At 58.4% G+C, this 17,473-nt stretch overlaps 1 protein-coding gene and 1 long non-coding RNA gene across 21 annotated transcripts in view, besides 4 other annotated features; one reads left to right on the top strand and one right to left on the bottom strand.

The window, feature by feature from the left end:
* Positions 1–3,563, top strand: part of ASIC4-AS1 (ASIC4 antisense RNA 1) — a 35,355-nt gene extending 31,792 nt beyond the window's left edge. The window contains exon 2 of the long non-coding RNA XR_923921.2: positions 2,886–3,563. This is a non-coding gene — a long non-coding RNA (ASIC4 antisense RNA 1). The remainder of the gene's footprint in view (positions 1–2,885) is intronic.
* Positions 1–17,473, bottom strand: part of SPEG (striated muscle enriched protein kinase) — a 58,787-nt gene that overhangs the window by 8,335 nt on the left and 32,979 nt on the right. For 19 of the 20 annotated variants that reach the window (XM_047442891.1, XM_011510479.3, XM_047442893.1 and 16 more), the window contains 20 exons: positions 16,559–16,717; positions 16,247–16,436; positions 15,916–16,139; positions 13,308–13,427; positions 12,964–13,068; positions 12,199–12,405; positions 11,668–11,791; positions 11,392–11,567; positions 8,313–8,425; positions 7,850–8,018; positions 7,510–7,606; positions 7,190–7,390; positions 6,094–6,151; positions 5,435–5,512; positions 5,155–5,333; positions 4,598–4,624; positions 3,839–3,991; positions 3,615–3,657; positions 2,443–2,511; positions 223–2,197 (listed from right to left, as the gene is read on the bottom strand). In XM_047442891.1, the coding sequence (XP_047298847.1) occupies positions 223–2,197; positions 2,443–2,511; positions 3,615–3,657; positions 3,839–3,991; positions 4,598–4,624; positions 5,155–5,333; positions 5,435–5,512; positions 6,094–6,151; positions 7,190–7,390; positions 7,510–7,606; positions 7,850–8,018; positions 8,313–8,425; positions 11,392–11,567; positions 11,668–11,791; positions 12,199–12,405; positions 12,964–13,068; positions 13,308–13,427; positions 15,916–16,139; positions 16,247–16,436; positions 16,559–16,717 (4,467 nt within the window). Of the gene's footprint in view, positions 1–222; positions 2,198–2,442; positions 2,512–3,614; positions 3,658–3,838; positions 3,992–4,597; positions 4,625–5,154; positions 5,334–5,434; positions 5,513–6,093; positions 6,152–7,189; positions 7,391–7,509; positions 7,607–7,849; positions 8,019–8,312; positions 8,426–11,391; positions 11,568–11,667; positions 11,792–12,198; positions 12,406–12,963; positions 13,069–13,307; positions 13,428–15,915; positions 16,140–16,246; positions 16,437–16,558; positions 16,718–17,473 lie in introns of those variants that run through there. The other variant, XM_047442901.1, reaches the window with a different exon arrangement.
* Positions 235–1,036: an enhancer, noted in NCBI's record as "H3K27ac-H3K4me1 hESC enhancer chr2:220348981-220349782 (GRCh37/hg19 assembly coordinates)". NCBI's record gives its function as "activates a minimal SCP1, AML or CMV promoter by ChIP-STARR-seq in primed H9 embryonic stem cells {active_cell/tissue: H9 hESC(primed)}" and the evidence as "EXISTENCE:reporter gene assay evidence [ECO:0000049][PMID:30033119]".
* Positions 7,923–8,630: an enhancer, noted in NCBI's record as "H3K4me1 hESC enhancer chr2:220341387-220342094 (GRCh37/hg19 assembly coordinates)". NCBI's record gives its function as "activates a minimal SCP1, AML or CMV promoter by ChIP-STARR-seq in primed H9 embryonic stem cells {active_cell/tissue: H9 hESC(primed)}" and the evidence as "EXISTENCE:reporter gene assay evidence [ECO:0000049][PMID:30033119]".
* Positions 8,714–9,008: a silencer, noted in NCBI's record as "tiled region #8597; K562 Repressive DNase unmatched - State 8:EnhW". NCBI's record gives its function as "represses a minimal TATA promoter and a strong SV40 promoter by Sharpr-MPRA in K562 cells {active_cell/tissue: K562}" and the evidence as "EXISTENCE:reporter gene assay evidence [ECO:0000049][PMID:27701403]".
* Positions 9,338–10,045: an enhancer, noted in NCBI's record as "H3K4me1 hESC enhancer chr2:220339972-220340679 (GRCh37/hg19 assembly coordinates)". NCBI's record gives its function as "activates a minimal SCP1, AML or CMV promoter by ChIP-STARR-seq in primed H9 embryonic stem cells {active_cell/tissue: H9 hESC(primed)}" and the evidence as "EXISTENCE:reporter gene assay evidence [ECO:0000049][PMID:30033119]".

Here is a 17,473-nt window from a genome sequence, read left to right as displayed (position 1 = left end):
CCACCTCTCTGCAGCCCTCAGCCCAGAGAACCAGAAGGAACCCCTAGCCCACCCAGCCCTGCCGCCATTCCTGCTTTCCTCCCCTCCAGCCCTGCTGATTCCACCCTCGGGGCCTCAGCCTGCCCCTGGTGGGTGTCCCCAGCCCTCTGCTCCTCCCACAGCCTCTCTCCAGCGCACCCCACCCTCCTCTGCACCTGCTGCCCTACCCCTGCCCCTCCTCACCTGAGGAGCCCGACGTGGCGCTGGCCTCGGAGCCCAGGGACTCGGCGGAAGGCGTGGTGGCGCCGGCCTGGGCGGCCAACTGGTTGTGCGGAAGGCCAAGGCGCCGCAGACTCTCGCCCTCGGACGTGGCCCTGCGAAGCCGTCCGAACAGCGGCGTGCTGCGGCCCGACGCGCCCCCCGAGTCCTCGCTGCTGCCACTGCGCTGCAATCGGCTGGACAGCCGCTCCAGGGTGAAGCTCAGCCGCCTGCGCATCGCCAGCACCGGGGAGCCCCGCGCCGAGCTCCCGCCCTCCGAGCTCTCTCCGTCCCCGCCGCGGGCCTCCCAGGCCGGGTGGCGCTGCGCGGGAGGGGTCCGCCGCAGCCGCTGGGACAGTGACAGCGAGAGGCGGCGGACGAGGCCAGGCTCTCCGACAGCCCTGAGGTCCTGCACCGAGCGTGAGCGCTCAGGCCGTCGCACCAGCTCCAGCGGGGTCCCCGCCGGGCTGGGCCGGTATATGCCATCCTCCTCCTCGGCCCCACGGAAGGGGCCGCGCTCCTCCGAGCGCGAACGGCTCAGCAGCCGCAGCCCCAGCGACAGGGGCGACTCGCGGCTGCGCTTGAACTTGGCCTCGAACACGGCCTCCGACTCCAAGTTTTCGATGCTGCTACTGAGACTGCTGCCTGGCCTGGGGGGCACCGTGGGAACTCGGGCTTTCTCGGCTAGCACCGGGGGACCCCCGGCTGAGGGCACGCGCTTCTCGGGGGCTCCCGGAGGTGGGGAGGCCACCCTGGCAAAGACAGCAGCGTGGGGCTTGGGCTCTGAAGGCGGCGCGGCAGGGCCCTGCGAGGGGCCCTGGGCGTGGCCTGACAGCTGGAGGGACTGAATGATCTGAGCATAGGGTGTGAGGGGCAGCGCTAGGGTTTGCAGGGCCTGGGGGGGTGGTGCAGGCTTGGAGGCTCGGACTGGTTCTGGCCTGGGCTCTGGAGCCTTGTCTTGGGCAGGCTGGGGTGCGGGGGGCTGCGGAGCATCACTAGGTGTGGTGGCAGAAGGTTCTGCAGACTTAGGGGTACTGGGTTTGGGGGCGCTGGGCCGTGCAGGGCTGGATGGCTGGGCCTCGCTGAGGGCAGACAGGGAAGGAGACTCCTGTAGCCTACGGGCCCCAAGCCTGGCCACGGGGATCTCGAGGGGCGCCCCCGCTCGGCGGTGCCGGCCCCGGGGCTCCGCCTCACCCTGGGAGAAGCTGCTGCTCTTTTGCAGGCCCCGGTTCTCGAGTGGGGGCTGGTGGTGGGGCGCTGCCTCGCTGGAGGCAGCTCGTGCCATCCGGGGGTCCCGAGCACGGCCCCCCAGGCTCTCCAGCAGGGGACCCCTGAGGCCGCTGACCTTGCCATCCTCGGGGCCTCCCCGCAGCAGCCGCTGGCGCAGGGCCTGCAGCCTCTGGGCATACTCGCCCTCACCCAGGCCTCCCCGGGCCAGGCGGGTGGCTCCCGGGCTGGGGCTCCGGCGCTGCGGCAGCTCCACAGACGCCGCCTTGTGCAGGCCCCGGCCCAGCTCCCGCGGCCCGGCCCGGGGCAGGGCGCTCTCAGCCGAGCTGCCCCTGCGGAGCTCTCCCCGCCTGGGGCTAGCCCCAGCTGCGGGCTCCTGGCCTGGGGAGGGGAGGGCCTCTGGGCTGGGAGCCTCCTGGTCCTGAGAGGGAGCCCTTCCCTGCTCCTGCCAGTCCATGGGGGTGGCAGCCCCAGTCTCTGGGGTCCCCAGGGCCTCATCCTCAGTGGGAATGTCTGTGAGGGACACCCGGGAGCCAGAGAACTCGGGCTGCAGTGGGCGGGGCACTGAGGGCAGCTCTTCCAGCTCTTCCTCTTCAGAATCCGAGGAGGATGAGAGCCCCCCACTGGGGGGTGGCCTTCTGGGCATGGTCACCCACACCCGCTCTGGGGGGGCCCGCAGCAGCTCGGGGATGGGGCGCAGCACCAGGTGGCATTTGTAGCTGATCTGGGAGCGCTGGAGACAGGGTACTGGAGTCAGACCTGAGGGACCCCTGGGGCAGGATTGTCCCCCCCAGGCCCACCTCAGCCCTGGGGAAGAGGCCTGAGCATGCAGAGGGTCAGGGAACAGGCAGGAAGCTAGGCATGGAGCCAGTGAAAGCGAGAAGACAGGAGCAGGAGATGAAGGCCCACGGGAGGGGGAAGGCAGTGCTAGAGAAAAGGAGAAGGTGGAAAGCACAGAGGCTGGCCTGCCACACTTACCTGCCACCTCCGCCGGGAGAGGAATAGCTTCAGGTGATCCGTGCTCACCTCTGCGCCCTTTGCCTGAGTCTGCAAACCCAGGAAAGAGGGCTTGAGGGAAAGCTGTCAACCTAGACCCTCCAGGTTTGGCAACAGAGAGACAAAGTCCATGGGGCGGGGTGGCAGGAGAGAGTGGATCGAGCAGCACTGAGTCTGGGCTCCTGGGGGTCCCCTTCCCCCTGGGTCTGTCAGGACAATGCCTACAGCCAAGATGCACACCTAAAGACAAATCCCCTGAACCCCCCAGGGGAGAGGCAGGAAACTGGTGGCTCCCCTAGGTAGGCTTCTGAGCTTCCACCAGGGCTCATGGCCCTGTCCTGGTAAACCAGCTGCCCTGGGAGGCCTGTGATCTTAGGCCCTTTACCCGGGTCCTGGCTCCCCAGCTCCCCTCTGTCTCCATGTAGGGCCAACACCCCAGACATCTGGAGCCTTGGTGGTCCAGACCAAGACGGATGCTTCCCTCAGCTACCCACCCAGGCTCTCTCTTCTGGAGCTCATTTCCGGTCTGAGAAAGAAGGCTCTTAATTCAACTCCTGATACCCGAATGACCTCAGCCTTCAAGTGACCTGGCACAACCCTCCATGAACAGTTTATTCAGGCGCTCTTTCCAGACTCATTTGCTGAACCCCCCCTCCCAAATCCCCAAGACCCCATCAATGCCTGGCACTGTGCCCTGAGGCACTGGGGTTTGAAGATGAATGAGTGAGAACCGAGAACCTGCTCACATGAAGCTCATAACCAAGGGGCTGAGACTGCCTGGTCACCCCCAACGCTATTGTGTGGGACCAGTGCAGGACAGAGATGGACAGACAGAAGTCAGGAAGACCAGGGTCTGGTCTCAAGCATGGGGGAGAACTCCACTGAGGACGCCCAGGATGGAGAGGTCCAGACGTATGCCCTGGAGTCCAGTATGTATACCCCCAACTCCATCACTGATTAGAGCCTGTTTCCTTGTCAACAAAATGGGACTAATAATGCCTTCCTTTGCAAAGCTATTGTGAGGCTAATACGTCATATGTACATACAATGCCTAACGTGGTTACTGCACACAGTAGGTACTCAATAAATAGAGCTGTTAGTAACATTCTCTCTCCCTCCACCTTTTGTGCCACCACTTTGCAGACTAGACTCACTTTGAACCAAGGATGTTCTAGGGTCTCTTCTGCGGTAGGTCTCCTGTGAATGAATGAGGATTAAGAAGGGATTTATCGTTCAGTCATCAGTGAGTCAATAACTGAGCAAACAGGGCTCCTAAGGAGTTGGGGGCTTGCATGTCGAGGGGCAGGAGTTTGGGAGTAGCAGGCAGGTGGTATGAGGGTGACCCTGCAGGTGGGGGCTCCCAGGGCCTTGTACTCACAGCCGGTCCTGCACCAACACTTTGATGAGGAAGCCCCGGGCCTCCCTGCTCAGGCTCAGGAATGTGGTCTCCTCGAAGGCCACGTTGTAGTTTCGGATGTTCATCAATGTTGTCCGGTCATTTTCCCCAACAAACGGGGAGATTCCTGTCAGACTGCAGGGGTGAAGAGGGCTGTCATGAGGGGCAGGCGGGGACAAAGGGGAATGTCAGTGGGGGCACAGGGCTGGGGACAGATGGAGGCTCTGGGGTTGTGAGGATGACAGAGGCTGGGCAAATGTGGGTAAGAGGTGAGGCTGCGGACTCTCTCCTGCCCTGTCCCCTCCCCAGCCCCCCTGATGGGCAGGGAGGTGGTGCTGCCTTGGGGCCTAGTGGCCTGTGCTTTAGAGGACCTGTTCCATCCCTCCTCCAGTGTGGCCTCTCCATGAGTGAAGAGTCTGTGCCAAGGGGATGTGCCCACCCTGAGCTCCACTCCCATCTAGTCCAAGTTTTGGACACTCAGAGCCAAGGAGTTCCCTGCCTCCATGGCCCTGAGCCTGCGCTGGGCTCTCTCCATCTAGGGTGCCCACCTCTTATGGAGGGGTGTGGGGACAGGCAGAGTGTGGGCATGCAGACAGGGGTGTCCACCTTCATGCACATGAGGCTCCTTGCAGTGCAAGAAGGAGTGGGGGGTGCGGAAGAGAAGGGGGTGGGCTGCAGCCCTGCAAAGGTTAGGGGTAGACCTGCCAGGAGACTGCTGGGACATTGCAGAGGGGTCCTTACCAGAGGAAGGCAACAACACCCACAGGCCTGTGGGAAAAGGAGAGTGATAGGTAAGAGGACCGCCCCTCTCTGACTGGAAGGGAGCAGTTCTTTGCTACTGCTGACCTGAGTGAGCTGTTACCTCCCTGGGAACACTGCCATGGACAATGGGCACAGGAGTGGCTTCTTCAGGGAGGACCCTGAACCTACAGGTCCAGATATGCCTGGAGAAGTCCAGGGTCATGGCAGGGCTGGCCCAGGAAGCCCAGGGAAGCCTGGGAACCAATGGGACCATGCCTGCCTTACTGGAGGAGGCAGGCTGAATGCTGAGGGGAAGGCCCGGCTTCCAGGGGAGACAAGGAGTCAAGGACTAACAGGGCTGAGGCCTTGAGAGAATGGGGCAGCCCTGACTCACAAGGGGCAAGGAGTAACATGGGCAGGAGACCCTGCAAACAATGCCTCCAGCCCACCTTCAGGAGGAATTCAGGCTCGGTAAATCTCCCTGCCAGTGAGCGCGTCCCCAGCACAGCCCCAAGGGCAGCTGCCCTGGTCGGCCCAGCCCAGCATGCCAGCCTTACCAGATGTCAGTGACTCCAGACACGGGGCTCTGATTGACAATCTCGGGTGCTACAAACTCAGGTGTGCCATACTGGCAGTACTGGGGCTCTCCTGGAGTCAGCTCCTGGGCATTCCCAAAGTCACAGATCCGCACCTGCTGCTCGCCCGCAGCACCATCCCACACCAGCAGGTTCTCAGGCTGGAAGACACAAGGCGAGGTGTGCGGGCCAAATGAACAAGGAAGGATGCTTCACCTCCTGGCTCCCACAGGGGCTGTCTGCTCTCCAGTCCCCACCTCACCTTGACATCGAGGTGCAGCACGTGGCTCTGGTGCAGGTAGTGTATTCCCTCTAGCACCTGCCGCATATAGGCCCGGATCTGTGGAAATAGTGGGCCCAGAGTCTGAGGGGGAAGGGTGGTGTATGTCTGAACACCTCCAGGGCGGCAAGCGGTCCGGCTGTGCCTGTGGAGTAGCCTTCAGATGGCTCGTGGAAGGGGCTGAAACAGGTTTGGGGTTGCAAAGATCCAAGGCTACCATATGCACCGGAGGGTACAGCACAATTATAGGGAGGAGCCATTGCGTGGTAATAAGTAGAATTGTGCAGTGCACAACATGTACAGCCTGACGTGGCAGGACTGCAGTGAGATCAATAAAATCTAGGTGGGGCTCCTTCCAGGAGAAATGTTTGGGGGATGTTTATGTGATGAAGAGTGGGAAACAACAGTTAGGAGCTGGGGTGGGTTTGCTGAGATTTAGAGAGAATAGCACAAGTCTCAGATAGATGGGGGTCTGGTATCATTGGGTGGGGACTCTGCTGCCTACCTAACAGTGCTCTCCACCTCCACCCCTGGCTTCCTGTGGGCACAGATGGCACACTCAGGACCCATTTGTTGGTTCTCAAAGCTCAGGTGGGTGAAGGCTGGTGCCCAACCTGGCCCCTGCCACCCACTGCCCTCACCTCAGACTCACACACGGTGGGTTTCCTGGCGATTCGCTCCAGCAGCTCCTCTGTGCAGCTACATCCCAGATCAAGGAGAACAGTGCCCAGTGCCAACTGCCCGGCCCAGCCCAGCGCTCAGGGCAGGTCCCAGCTCAGCACGGGGTTCTCCTTCCCCTTACAGAATGCTTGATACTAGCCAGAGACTGCCTCTCCGCTCCTCCACGTGTACCCCCTCCCCACCTCCTGTCCTCTGAGGGCACAGGTGGGTCATCCCTGCTTGAACTCCCACTTTCTATGGGATCTCAGACAAGTCACTTCACTTCTCTGAGCCTAGGTTCTCCCAGGAGTAATATGGGAATAACATTTCCTTTCCTGCCCACCCTGTAAAGCATTTATAGGGATCAAATTACAGCAGAATTTTGTTGACTGTGGATGGAACTTCTTGACTCTATTTGAGAATGACCTAGAAGATCCATGACATGGAATAATTTGTCATTTTGCTGAGGTTTGAATTCAAACAGTGCAGGCAGGAGGCTCATGTGCAGGTTACGGTCACCCTGCTACTGGGGTGATGAGCCAATCACCCAGCATCCTTACCTCAATGTGCCTTTGCTTAACCACAGCCTTCATGAAAGGGTAAAATCTGTTCCTTATGAAAACAGCCTCTAAATAAAGCCAAGTATTGATCTGAAATGGGGTCACTACAAATATGCAGATGCATTGTACTGCATTTCATGATGAAAAGCATAGGCCATGTGCTAGCTCTGTGACCTTGGGCAAGTTATTTAACCTCTCCATGCCTGTCTCTTCATCTGTAAAATGGGGATAATACAAGTTAATAATAAAATTCCAGGAGATAGGAATATATGGGATTAAATAGGTTAATATTTGTAAAACTCTTAGAACACTGCCAGGCACACACATTAAATGCTATGAAAATTTAAGCTAACAATGGGCTTAAAACTGTTGGTTTTCATAGAAGTCTCCAGATGTATCCCTCCCAATTGTCAATTGGGACTACTTTGTAAACTGTAAAACATGTTGCCTATTGGATGTTACAAGGACCAGTCATTTAGGCATGGATCCCCCTAGCCCCCAGCCTGTCCCAGGATACAGCTCGGTGACAATGACCAGTCCCCGGCGCCTCTCGAAGGCCTCATGGAAGTAGAGGACACAGTCGTGCTGGAGCCTGGCCAGCAGCCGGGCCTCCCGACGCGCTGATGCCTTTGGCTTGGCCTGGCTGGGGATGAACTTGGCCGCAAACTCCAGGCCGGAGCTACGCTCCACTATGCGCCGCAAGTAGGAGAAAGCACCCCTGGTTGACACAGGGAGGGGGTCAGAGATCAGCCATCACTGTGGCCCTCTCCACCCCTCCCAACCCTCAGACCCAGCAGCCTCTCTCGGCCCCCACTGGCTTCCCTCCTAGCCCCACACCTGCCGATCTCCTGGTGGATGTCATAAAAGTCGCTGAGTCTCCTTCCTCGATGGTCCTCATCCTCCCCGACCCCCTCGACCTCCATAGCTGTCTGAGCTGGGGCAGAGATGTCATGGTGTTAGGTGGGAGGGGAAGAAAGCAAGCAGGCCAGAGACTGGGACAGGTGGACAGAAGAAGAAGAGAGAAGAGGTGCAAGAATGTTGGGGGCTCAAGGCGGGGTGCTGGGCTGGGGGTGTGGTGGCTCGAGTCCAGGGCTGGCTGCTTCCTGGGCAGAGCATGGAGGGTCACATCAGATTCCAGGGGGTGTGCGCTTTACCTTTCTCCGGAACTCCTGCCTACCTGAATGCACAGCCAACTCTGCTTTGCAGGAGACCTCACCCGCCAGGTTCTGGGCGGTGCAGGTGTAGACGCCTCCATCCTGGGCCCCCGTGCTGAGCACCACCAGGGAGCACTCATTCTCCTCGTACACGAAGCTCACATGGCTGCTCTCGGTCAGCAGCACCTCGTCCTGCAGAGTGGGGTCTCACCTTCAGCCTGGGCCTGGCCTCATCTCTACCTTGGGGCCAGGGCCTCATCTCCTACTCTGGGCAGCGCATCTCTCACCAGGACCCAGAGTCAGCTCCTCCCTTATCTCCCACAGAAAGCCCTGCACCCCTCAGCTAGTCAGTCCTCTGCAGCCCCTTTCCTCCTCCTAACCACGCCTCTGCCCGGGCTCCGCCCTCCTAAGGCCTTCCAGGACCCTCCCACGCCCCCAGGGAGCCCCTCCTCCCTCCCCCAGGCTCAGCCAGCAGCACACTCTGACCTTGTACCACATGATGTCCGGCAGTGGTTTTCCCTCGACCACCACCGCAAAGCGAGCAGTTTCCCCAGCCCCCACCTCCACGTCCTCCATGATGGACTCAAACCGAGGGGCCTCTGAAACACATGGGGATAGGGGTGGGAAGAGAAGGGGCTAGGGGCTGGCTTTACCCTGCCTCCTCAGCCCCTCCCAAGATCCCCCATCAGTGACTGGCTCAGTCAGAACGCTAGACCCCCGCCTCCCTGCAAGCCACCACCCCCCACCCCCACCAACTGGGACAACAGAGTTCCCTGCCTGGACCAAGCCCCGCCCCGCCCCGTAAATCCAAACGTGATGTTCTCCAAATCTGAGGAAACCTGGCACAAGGTGCAGGCTTGCTTTGTTTGACCTTCTGTATTAATTTGGCAGCTTTGAAATTAGGAGATTTTCACACACAAAAGAAATCTGGATTTCCTGCCTCTCTTGAAAAATCAGGACTGGCCATCCTGAGTCGCTCCCCTCGCTGCATGAATCCGCGGGAGAGGAGTGGCCCAATGCTGCCCCCTGTGGGTGGCCGCCCTTCTTCACAGGGCCACCCGCTGGCTTCTGACTACCTGAACTTGGCCCCTGCAGGTGGCTCAGCCTGTGACCCTGAATTAAGCTCATGGATGGCATTGCCTCTACCTTGAAGTTTTTTCACTGAATCTTTGAAAAATGTTTAGAGGGGCTTCTATTAATAGCATCTGGGAGATGGCAAGATGAACAAACAACCCCCAAATACTAACCAAACCATCTAGAAATGGACTCTCAGTATCTCCCACATGTGGTTGTGATTTCATTCTCCATACATATCACATGGTCATATGATTTCCTGGTAAAGCAGCTTCTAATTCTCATGATGGAATTAAATACACATTGCAATGTGCTTTGCAAAGGAGCCTGTGACTTCCAGGTGTCCCCCGCCAGCCCCCACCCCCCACCCCAGCGTGTTTGAGCATCTCAGACTGAGGAGAAGTAGGATGAGTCAGGCACTTGGGAAGGCAGGGCGGCCGGGTGTGGACCCCCACCCTTCACAGGCACACAGACAACGGGGGAGGCCATCCCGGGGGTGGGGAAGACACTGCAGTGAGGTTGACGTGGAGGAAGGGGGGCCACCACTCCACTTGCCCTGTCTGGGTGTGGCTGGGTGGGGTCTAGTGGAATAGGGGTGTCAGTGCAAGCCCCAGCCCCATCAGAGCCCTGACTGGCTGGGCTCAAATGGGGCTCCATCGGTCACTGTTCCAGCTAGGCTGTGCTGCAGGGCTCTCAGGGCCAGGGGCTCCCCAAACTTCAGGGCTCCTCCTATATCTGGGAAGAAAGGTGAGTCCTGAAGATGGACTGTCAAGGAGTAAAGTGGTGACTGAGTGGAGAGTGCTAGGGACAGGGCAGGCAAGGAGGGAGACACTTAAAAGAGCGCCCAGCACCCCCACCATCTTCACAGCACGGCCAGAAGCGTTCCCTGTCTCTTTGTTACACACCCTATTGCCACTTATCTTCCACTTCACAGACGCCTCCCCTCGCCTCTAGGAATCCTGTCCCCCATGGGCTGGGAGGTGGTGGGGGCAGTCTATGAAGGTCAAAGCACCGGAAAGTTTCAAGTGAGCTTCAATGGTTTTTTGAAAGCACCAGAAAATGTCCATTTACCCATGATAAGATTGCCTGTGCTAAGTAAAATGTCACTTTCTTTGCTTTTGGTTGGAATTGTATTTACTCAGCAGGTAACCCTGTTTAGCCCATGTTGATCAGGAGTTCTGAGTGGCGGTTACATATGTCTAGAGTTAATTAACAAATTAGAAAACCAAACAGTTACTACCTAATGCATTAGGTAGTAACTAGTTTGAGAAACTACATCTTTAAAGGAAAAATTATAAAAAGAATCCTAAGGCCCGAGGCGGTGGCTCACATCTATAATCTCAGCACTTTGGGAAGCCGAGGTGGACGGATTACTTGAGGCCAGGAGTTCCAGACCAGCCTGGCCAACATAGCAAAACCCCATCTCTACTAAAAAATACAAAAAATTTGCTGGGCGTGGTTGTGCAAGCCTGTAGTCCCAGCTACTTGGCAGCCTGAGGCACAAGAATCACTCGAACCTGGGAGGTGGAGGTTGCAGTGAGCCGAGATGGTGTGGGTGACAGAGTGAGATGACTGTCTCAAAAAAAAAAAAAAAAAAAAGAATCCTTGCTGCTGCAAACATTGGGAGGCTCTGTCAAACAGGCTTGTGCCGAAGGGCGGCCAGGATTCTCAGGGCTGGCAGTTCGGTGATAAGATGTGCCCATGGGTTTCTTTAAAAACCAACTTGGTCTTCCCATGTTTGTTATATCTGAGATACTATTTCCTATTATGTTTAACACAGGAGCTAGGAGTCAGGCAGCCACACTTGAACCCAGCTCCTGTACTTATTAGGTTCTGTGAACTTGGGCCAGTTACTCTTAGCCTCGGCCTCAGTCTCCTCATCTGTAAAATGGGGATAATAACCAACCCCAACTCACAAGGCTGATGTAAACATTAAATGAGGCAATACATGTAAAGTGCTTAGTACTGAGACTGGCACATACTAGGCTCAATACATCTTTTTTTTTTTTTTTTTTTGAGACAGAGTTTTGCTCTTGTTGCCCAGGCTAGCGTGCAATGGAGCAATCTCGGCTCACTGCAACCTCTGCCTCCCAGGTTCAAGTGATTCTCCTGCCTCAGCCTCCCAAGTAGCTGGGACTACAGGCACCTGCCGCCACACCCAGCTAATTTTTGTATTTTTAGTAGAGATGGGGTTTCACCATGTTGGCGAGGCTGGTCACGAACTCCTGACCTCAGGTAATCCACCTGTGTCGGCCTCCCAAAGTGCTGAGATTACAGGTGTGAGCCACCGCGTCTGGCCAATAAATCTTGTTAGTATGATTGTTGTCATTATTACTAATATGGTATTTGTATAGCCATGACATGGACAGGCCTGACCAGAGGACATGGGTTTGGATCTGCAGCAGTGTCAGGCAGGTTGTGTACCTGGGGGTGTGAGTAGAGAGCTTTGGGCCTTGGAGGGAGGCTAGGAAGAAGGCCCGCTGTCACCCACCTGCCAGCTCCAATGTGACCGAGCAGGTCTGTGTGCCGTGACGGTTTCGGGCGGTGCAGGTGAGGGCCCCCATGTCCCGGCGGCTCACCCGGCAGATCCGAAGACAGTACTGGTCATCATCTGGCTGGCTCAGCTCGTACACACCGGCCCGTGCCTCTAGGAGGGCCCCTCGGCAGCTAGGGGACACATGACAGGGAGGTCACCCAGATCTTGCCCCAGGGCATTCCGGCCAGGCTGGGCCAGACCTGGGCTGCCACATGTGGGAAAGGGGCCCACCTCCTCCAGACGACCTGGGCCTCCACATGGTTGAATGTGACGGTGACGCTGGCAGGCTGTCCCTCCACCACATACACGATGTCTGGTTTGTCCAGCATGGCAGGGGCCTCCTCCAGGGTTGGGCCTGGGAGGAGGAGAGCGCAGGCTCTGTGCTGGGCTTGACATCAGGTCCTCAGCACCCACCACTCCTCTAACACCCCTCATCAACACTTGAGTTCCGTTTTTACAGATGGGAAAGCTGAAGCTCAGAGAGGTTTAGCGATTTGTCAGGGGAACACAGCCAGAGAGCAGCAAAGCTGAGGTTGTGGGGTTGGACCCCAGCAGGCCCGATCCCAAAGCCTGAGCTTCAGCCACCGTGCCCTGCTGCTTTCAGGAGGGAGAAGGAAGTGTACAGATGGGCCAAGGTCCCGCCCGGCTAGGCTGCTCCTGCCAGTTACCATGTCCAGGCCATCCCTTGAGCCTCCACCACAGGGCCCCCATTCCCCATCCCAGCAGCTCCCACCCCCACCCGACAGGAGCACCCAGGCTCACCGTGCTCCAGCAGCTGCACAGGCTCAGAAGGGGGTGAGGGCTTGCTGCTGCTCTTGACAGTGGTGCTGAGGACCCGGAAGATGTGCTGGACCCCCTTACGCAGCCCTGTGGCTGCCCACCCTGGCTCCCGCAGGCCTGTGACCAGTGCCGTCCACTGGTCCGAGCCCAGCACCTGGTGCTGCACTGTGTACGTCAGGGAGTCCGGGTCTGGCGGGAGAGGAGCTACTAGAGGCTGCTGTTGCAGGAGCAGTAACCCCTCCCCATCCAGCTGGCCCGGGACCCTGGAACTCATCATTAGTCTGCTCTGATGACGTGCCTCAGTCTCTGCTGTTGCTTCCTGCCTGTCCCCCCATCTGCTCTTGCCCAGCCACTTCCCTGGGAGGTTAAGAGCCAACAAGGTACCAGTACAGGCACAGATGGGGCTGGAATTGAACTCTAATTCCTTGATACCTGAGGTAGGGAAACTGAGGCAGAGCGGGAGGAGATCCTGGACAAGACGAGGAGAGGGCATTTGCAAGTCCTGACCCAGGCACCCACTCTGAGGATGGGAAGGGAATGTGGCAGTGCCCCGTGCCTCCTCTCCTCACCCAGAGCAAGAGCCCCATGCAACGTGGAGAGAAGACGGGCAAAGCTGGTCCCACCAGCATTCCATCAGCTCCTGCCCCTGCCCATCCGCTTCTGGGGCCTGGCCCCCATGGTGTCCTGCCTGAGCCTGCCTTCTCCACACCCCTTCCCCACCCATGGCCCTGTGCAGCCCTGACCCACCGATGGCCATGTCCAGACTCCTGGGGGGGTTCCATGTGAGTGTGACCATCCTCCCCGTCACAGCCACCACCTGCGGGGCGCCATCTGGAGGGCCTGGGACCACATCTGAAAGCCGCAGTTCGAATGTCTGCTGGGTCCAAGGGCCCAACAGCCCCACAGGATCACCGAGCCTCAGGGCAGGAGGCTAGGGCCTGGGGGCTCAGCCGCAGGGGCAGGGGCAAGGCAAGAGGGTCCCCAGGGGATGGAGGGGAAGGGAGCTGGGTGGAGGCCCCTTTCCCTGAGCCCCCACGTAGTGCCAGAGGCCAGGCTGTGCGTGCAGCTGACCACGAGGGTGCCTGCCTCACCTGTGACATACAGGTGGGCATAGCAGGCAGCTTTGCCCAGCTTGTTGGCAATGACGCTCTTGTAGACACCGGCGTGCTGAGGCCCCACGGCAGGGAACACCAAGCGATGGACATCCCTGTCTGGGAGGGGAGGGACAGTGACACTGGGCCTGAGCCCGGAGGATACCTTGAGGGGTAGGCCCATGCCATCCCGGGCCTGGTCCCTCACCCCCATCCACTGCAGGGAGGAGGCGAGTGGGCAAGGATGGGGCAAGGATGGGGCAGGCAGCAAGAAGTGCATCCATGGTGCAGCAAAGTCTGGGTCTGGGCCCGGGCTGGCTTCCAAGTCTACATCTGCCCTGGCCCCTCTGGTCTGTCCCTCCAGTGTGTCAGGCCAGGCAACTTATCATCTTCTCTTCCTCCTACACTGGGCCACCCTCTGGGGTCCCTGCCTCTGTTGACTGGCCCCTCGTCTTCCCACCTCTGCATGGTCACAACCTCTATGTCAAAACTCGAACAAAGCTTTGTTCCCAAGGCCCCTCCCCTAAGCCCTTCTTCTCCATCCCCAAGGCCACTGCCATTCTGTCTCCAGCACAGCTGCAGGGAAGCCCTCCAGGAGGACAGCAAAGCCCTCAACCCAAACTCCCTGCCAGCCACGTCTCTGTTGCTCCTCTGCATCTTGATGCTGGCTAACTATCAGGCCCCTGAACGAGACACCGAGTTCCATCTGCAGGTCATTGCTCACAACATTCCTCCCTTGGGGAATGCTCTCCTCTTACCTAAGGCTTCCTTGTCCTTCAAGACATAGTTTAAGTGGGTACAGCCCATGAAGCCCCCCTGCCCCTGGCCCGCTCTCTACCCCTCATCCTCTGACTCCTCCCAGGACCCCAACCCTCTCGCCTGCACATCGATGGGCACTGGCCCACGCTGCTTTTCATGGGCGGGGGCTCTTCCTCTTGCATCAGTCATAGCTCCTGACCTGGTCTGCAAGCTCCTTAAAGAGAGGGCTGACGTTGTCAGATCTGCTTGTCCCACCAGACCCAGAACCTCACACACAGTAAGTACCAAATACATTCTATGATATATTACAAGAGTTGCCTGCTCTGTGCCCAGCCTATACCAGGTACCTGACATGCTTTCCCCCTCGTGAATCCTTGCAACAACTCTACAAAATTATCCCCATTTTACCAATGAGGTCAGAGATATTGACTTGTTCAAGGTCCCACGGCTAATAAATGATAGTTTGACCTTGGTACCATGTGATTCCAAAGCTCTTTCCCTACTCCCTGCTCCCTGGATGATAAGGAGGCTGTCTCTGGCGAAGACACAGAGAGGAGGCCTGCACTGTCCTCCTTCATGTCAGGGCTGTCCCTAGACACCCTTCCCTTCTCTTTGCAGTTATCTCTGCATAGAACAGTCACCCATTCATTTATCTCTGCTGACACTATTTATAAGAGAAGAGAAGCCAAGGGCTGCCAGTGACCCCAGATACAGGCAGAAGCGGAGACGCCAGCTTAGATCCTGAGACAGACACTCACCCAGGGCCTCAGAGCAGACTGGGAGACAGGGAGGCCTGCTGCTGAGAATGACAGTCATGGGAGGCTGTGGGCAGGGGTTGGAGCCGGGGTGGCATCACTGGAGATGGGCAGGCGGGTGGGCAGGGAGGATGCAGCATGGGTGACAGGGACATCCTGGTTAAGAGCTGGGCACCAGGGTCAGACAGTCCTTTCTTGCCTCTTGGCAGCTTCCTGTATCTCTCTAAGCCTCAGTTTCCCCATCTGTAAATGGGGCTAATAGTATCCGCCTTATAGGCCTGTGGCAAGGTAAGATGGTCCTTGTCATACCTTTAGCTCTCAGGACCTGGCACTTAGAAAGCACTTAATGAAAGTGATCTTTGTCATGTTGCAGCCATAAGAGGAAATCATCGTGGGTCAAAGAGTGGGCACTGTCTTATGGGAGGGGGGCAGACCTTCTCACACAAGACTCAGATTCCTTCAAGGATGGAACTGAGATGCTCCCATAAGAAAGTATCCCAGGCTAAGAGGACACCAACCCAAATACGTTCCTCTGTGTCTCCCCTGGCCCCTTCTTCGTTATTTGCTATTTGTTAGCAACCCTGGACAGAGCATCCCTTCCATGCCAGACACTGCCCACACCTGCTTTTTCATTGCAATGTCTCCAGGAAGTACCACCGCTGATGATAATGGCTACTAAAACAAGAATACTGAGACTTCACACCTCCCAGCTGCTTGCCAGGTGCCAGGCCCTGCTCTGGGGCTTATATGCATTAACTGATTTAGTCTCGTAACAACCCAATTACAGATGAGAAACTGAGGCACAGAGGGCTTCTGTAACTTGCTCATGGGCCCGATGCGGGTTAGTAGCAGGCAGTACTGCCTGCCCAGTCAGTGCTAACGGGCACTGAGGGGTGACTCAGCAGATGAGTGCTGTGTGGGCTTGCAGGGGAGGCAATGACCTCACAGTCCCTCCGGGTTCCCTTCCCCCAGGCACCCTGTCCCTGGTCAGGCTACAGAGGAAAGGCCTGGGGAGAGCTGGGGAGAGGGGCAGGGCATTGCAAGCCAAGTGGGTGCTGCAGGGGACACTCCCGGGGAACTTCCCAGACACGTACACTGTGTCATGCGCCGGTCGTCGCTGCTCTGGATGCGGTGGCCATTGTGGAACCAGCTGATGGTGGGGTAGGGCAGGCCGGTCACCTGGCACTCTAGCATGGCCTCCTTGGCCAGTCCCACCTCCAGGTCCTGCAGTGGCCGCAGGAAGTCAGGAATGGACAGCCGCTCCAGCTCACCCTGCTCTGGCTCCTCGGGAATGGATGGCATCTTCTCCAGCTTCGAGCTGCAAGACCACACAGCTGCCCACAGGCCCAGGGCCGTGCCTCCCACCCCAGGGCTGGGCTGGCCCCTCACAGGCAGCCCCAGCATCATTTGGGGCCCCGGTGGTACCTGGGGCCTGAGGCGGCTGTCCGGGGCTCTTCTACATACAGCTGGGCTGAGCAGTGGGCCTGGCCATGGGTGTTAACAGCACTGACCGCATAGAGCCCCTCGTCCTCGCTGCCCACATGGGCAATGTGCAGTGAGTGCAGACCCCCGTCCTGCCGCAGCCGCAAGTTCTCACTCTCCTCCATGGGGCAGCCTGCAGAAAGGAGGGGTGGGAATGCAGAGCAGGCACAGTGAGGGGCCCTGCCCTCTGGGTGCACCCCATCGCCGCCTGGGCCCTTGGGGGGGCCCTCAACACCTGCAGCACAGGGGCCGTACCAAAATGAGTCCAGGTAACAACAGGGGGCGGGGTGCCACTGATCTTGCAGTCGAAACGGGCAGCTCGGCCCTCCAACACCTCCACATCTTCCAGCAGCCGTGTGAACAGGGGTGCCAACGAGGGCCGCACGGTCAGCCGGGCACTGCAGGTCAGCTCATCTGTGGGGCAGGGGGCAGCTCAGAGATAGGGAAGGCTAAGGAGGCCCAGGCATCCCAACCCACCACTCCTGACCTAAGGCTGAGCAGGAAGCTGGAGCCTGGGCAGAGCCCAGCAAAGGCTCTGGGTACTCAGGGGAGGAAGTGGGCACAGATCCAGAGACTAGACCTCGAGAGGGTGGAGGTCAGCAAGGGTGGGTGCAGACTGCCATGGTGGGCTGGGGACTCCATAGGAGCCCAGGGCCTGAGCCCAGGGCCTGGCCCCAGCTCCCCCCTCCTCCCCTCACCCTGCCCACCCTGGATGAAGCACAGCCCAGCTCTGATAGGGTCCTAGAAGCCAAGCCCACCCCTCCTCCATCTACTTCTCAGAATTCTCCTCTGTGCTGGGGTCATGCCCATGCTCCTAGCCACCTTCCCCAGACCCAGAGCAGATGCCCCTTGGCCCCACCTACCAACCCTCAAAGAAGCTTCTGGAGGAGATAAGGGTCCCTTATGTTGACCCGATGCACCCTCCTGCTTCTAAAGCCCCTCCAGCTTCCGCTTAGGTCTTCATCACCCACAACGTAGCAAGGCAGGTGCCATAATCTCTGCCCTTCCATGTGGGCAGGCCCAGGTCAGAGATAGCATCAGTGGTAACAATGGCTGGCATTTATTAGGCAGGTGTGCCATTTGAAACCCATTTCTGGAATGCTCAGTGCCCTACCCTCTCCTGGAAAGGCCCTTTGACAGGCCCTGTGCTTTGTTCTTCACATAAACTAT

Source organism: Homo sapiens, chromosome 2 (genome assembly GCF_000001405.40).
Source record: "Homo sapiens chromosome 2, GRCh38.p14 Primary Assembly".
Taxonomy (NCBI): Eukaryota; Metazoa; Chordata; class Mammalia; order Primates; family Hominidae; genus Homo; species Homo sapiens.
This window is presented reverse-complemented; position numbering and strand designations above follow the sequence as displayed.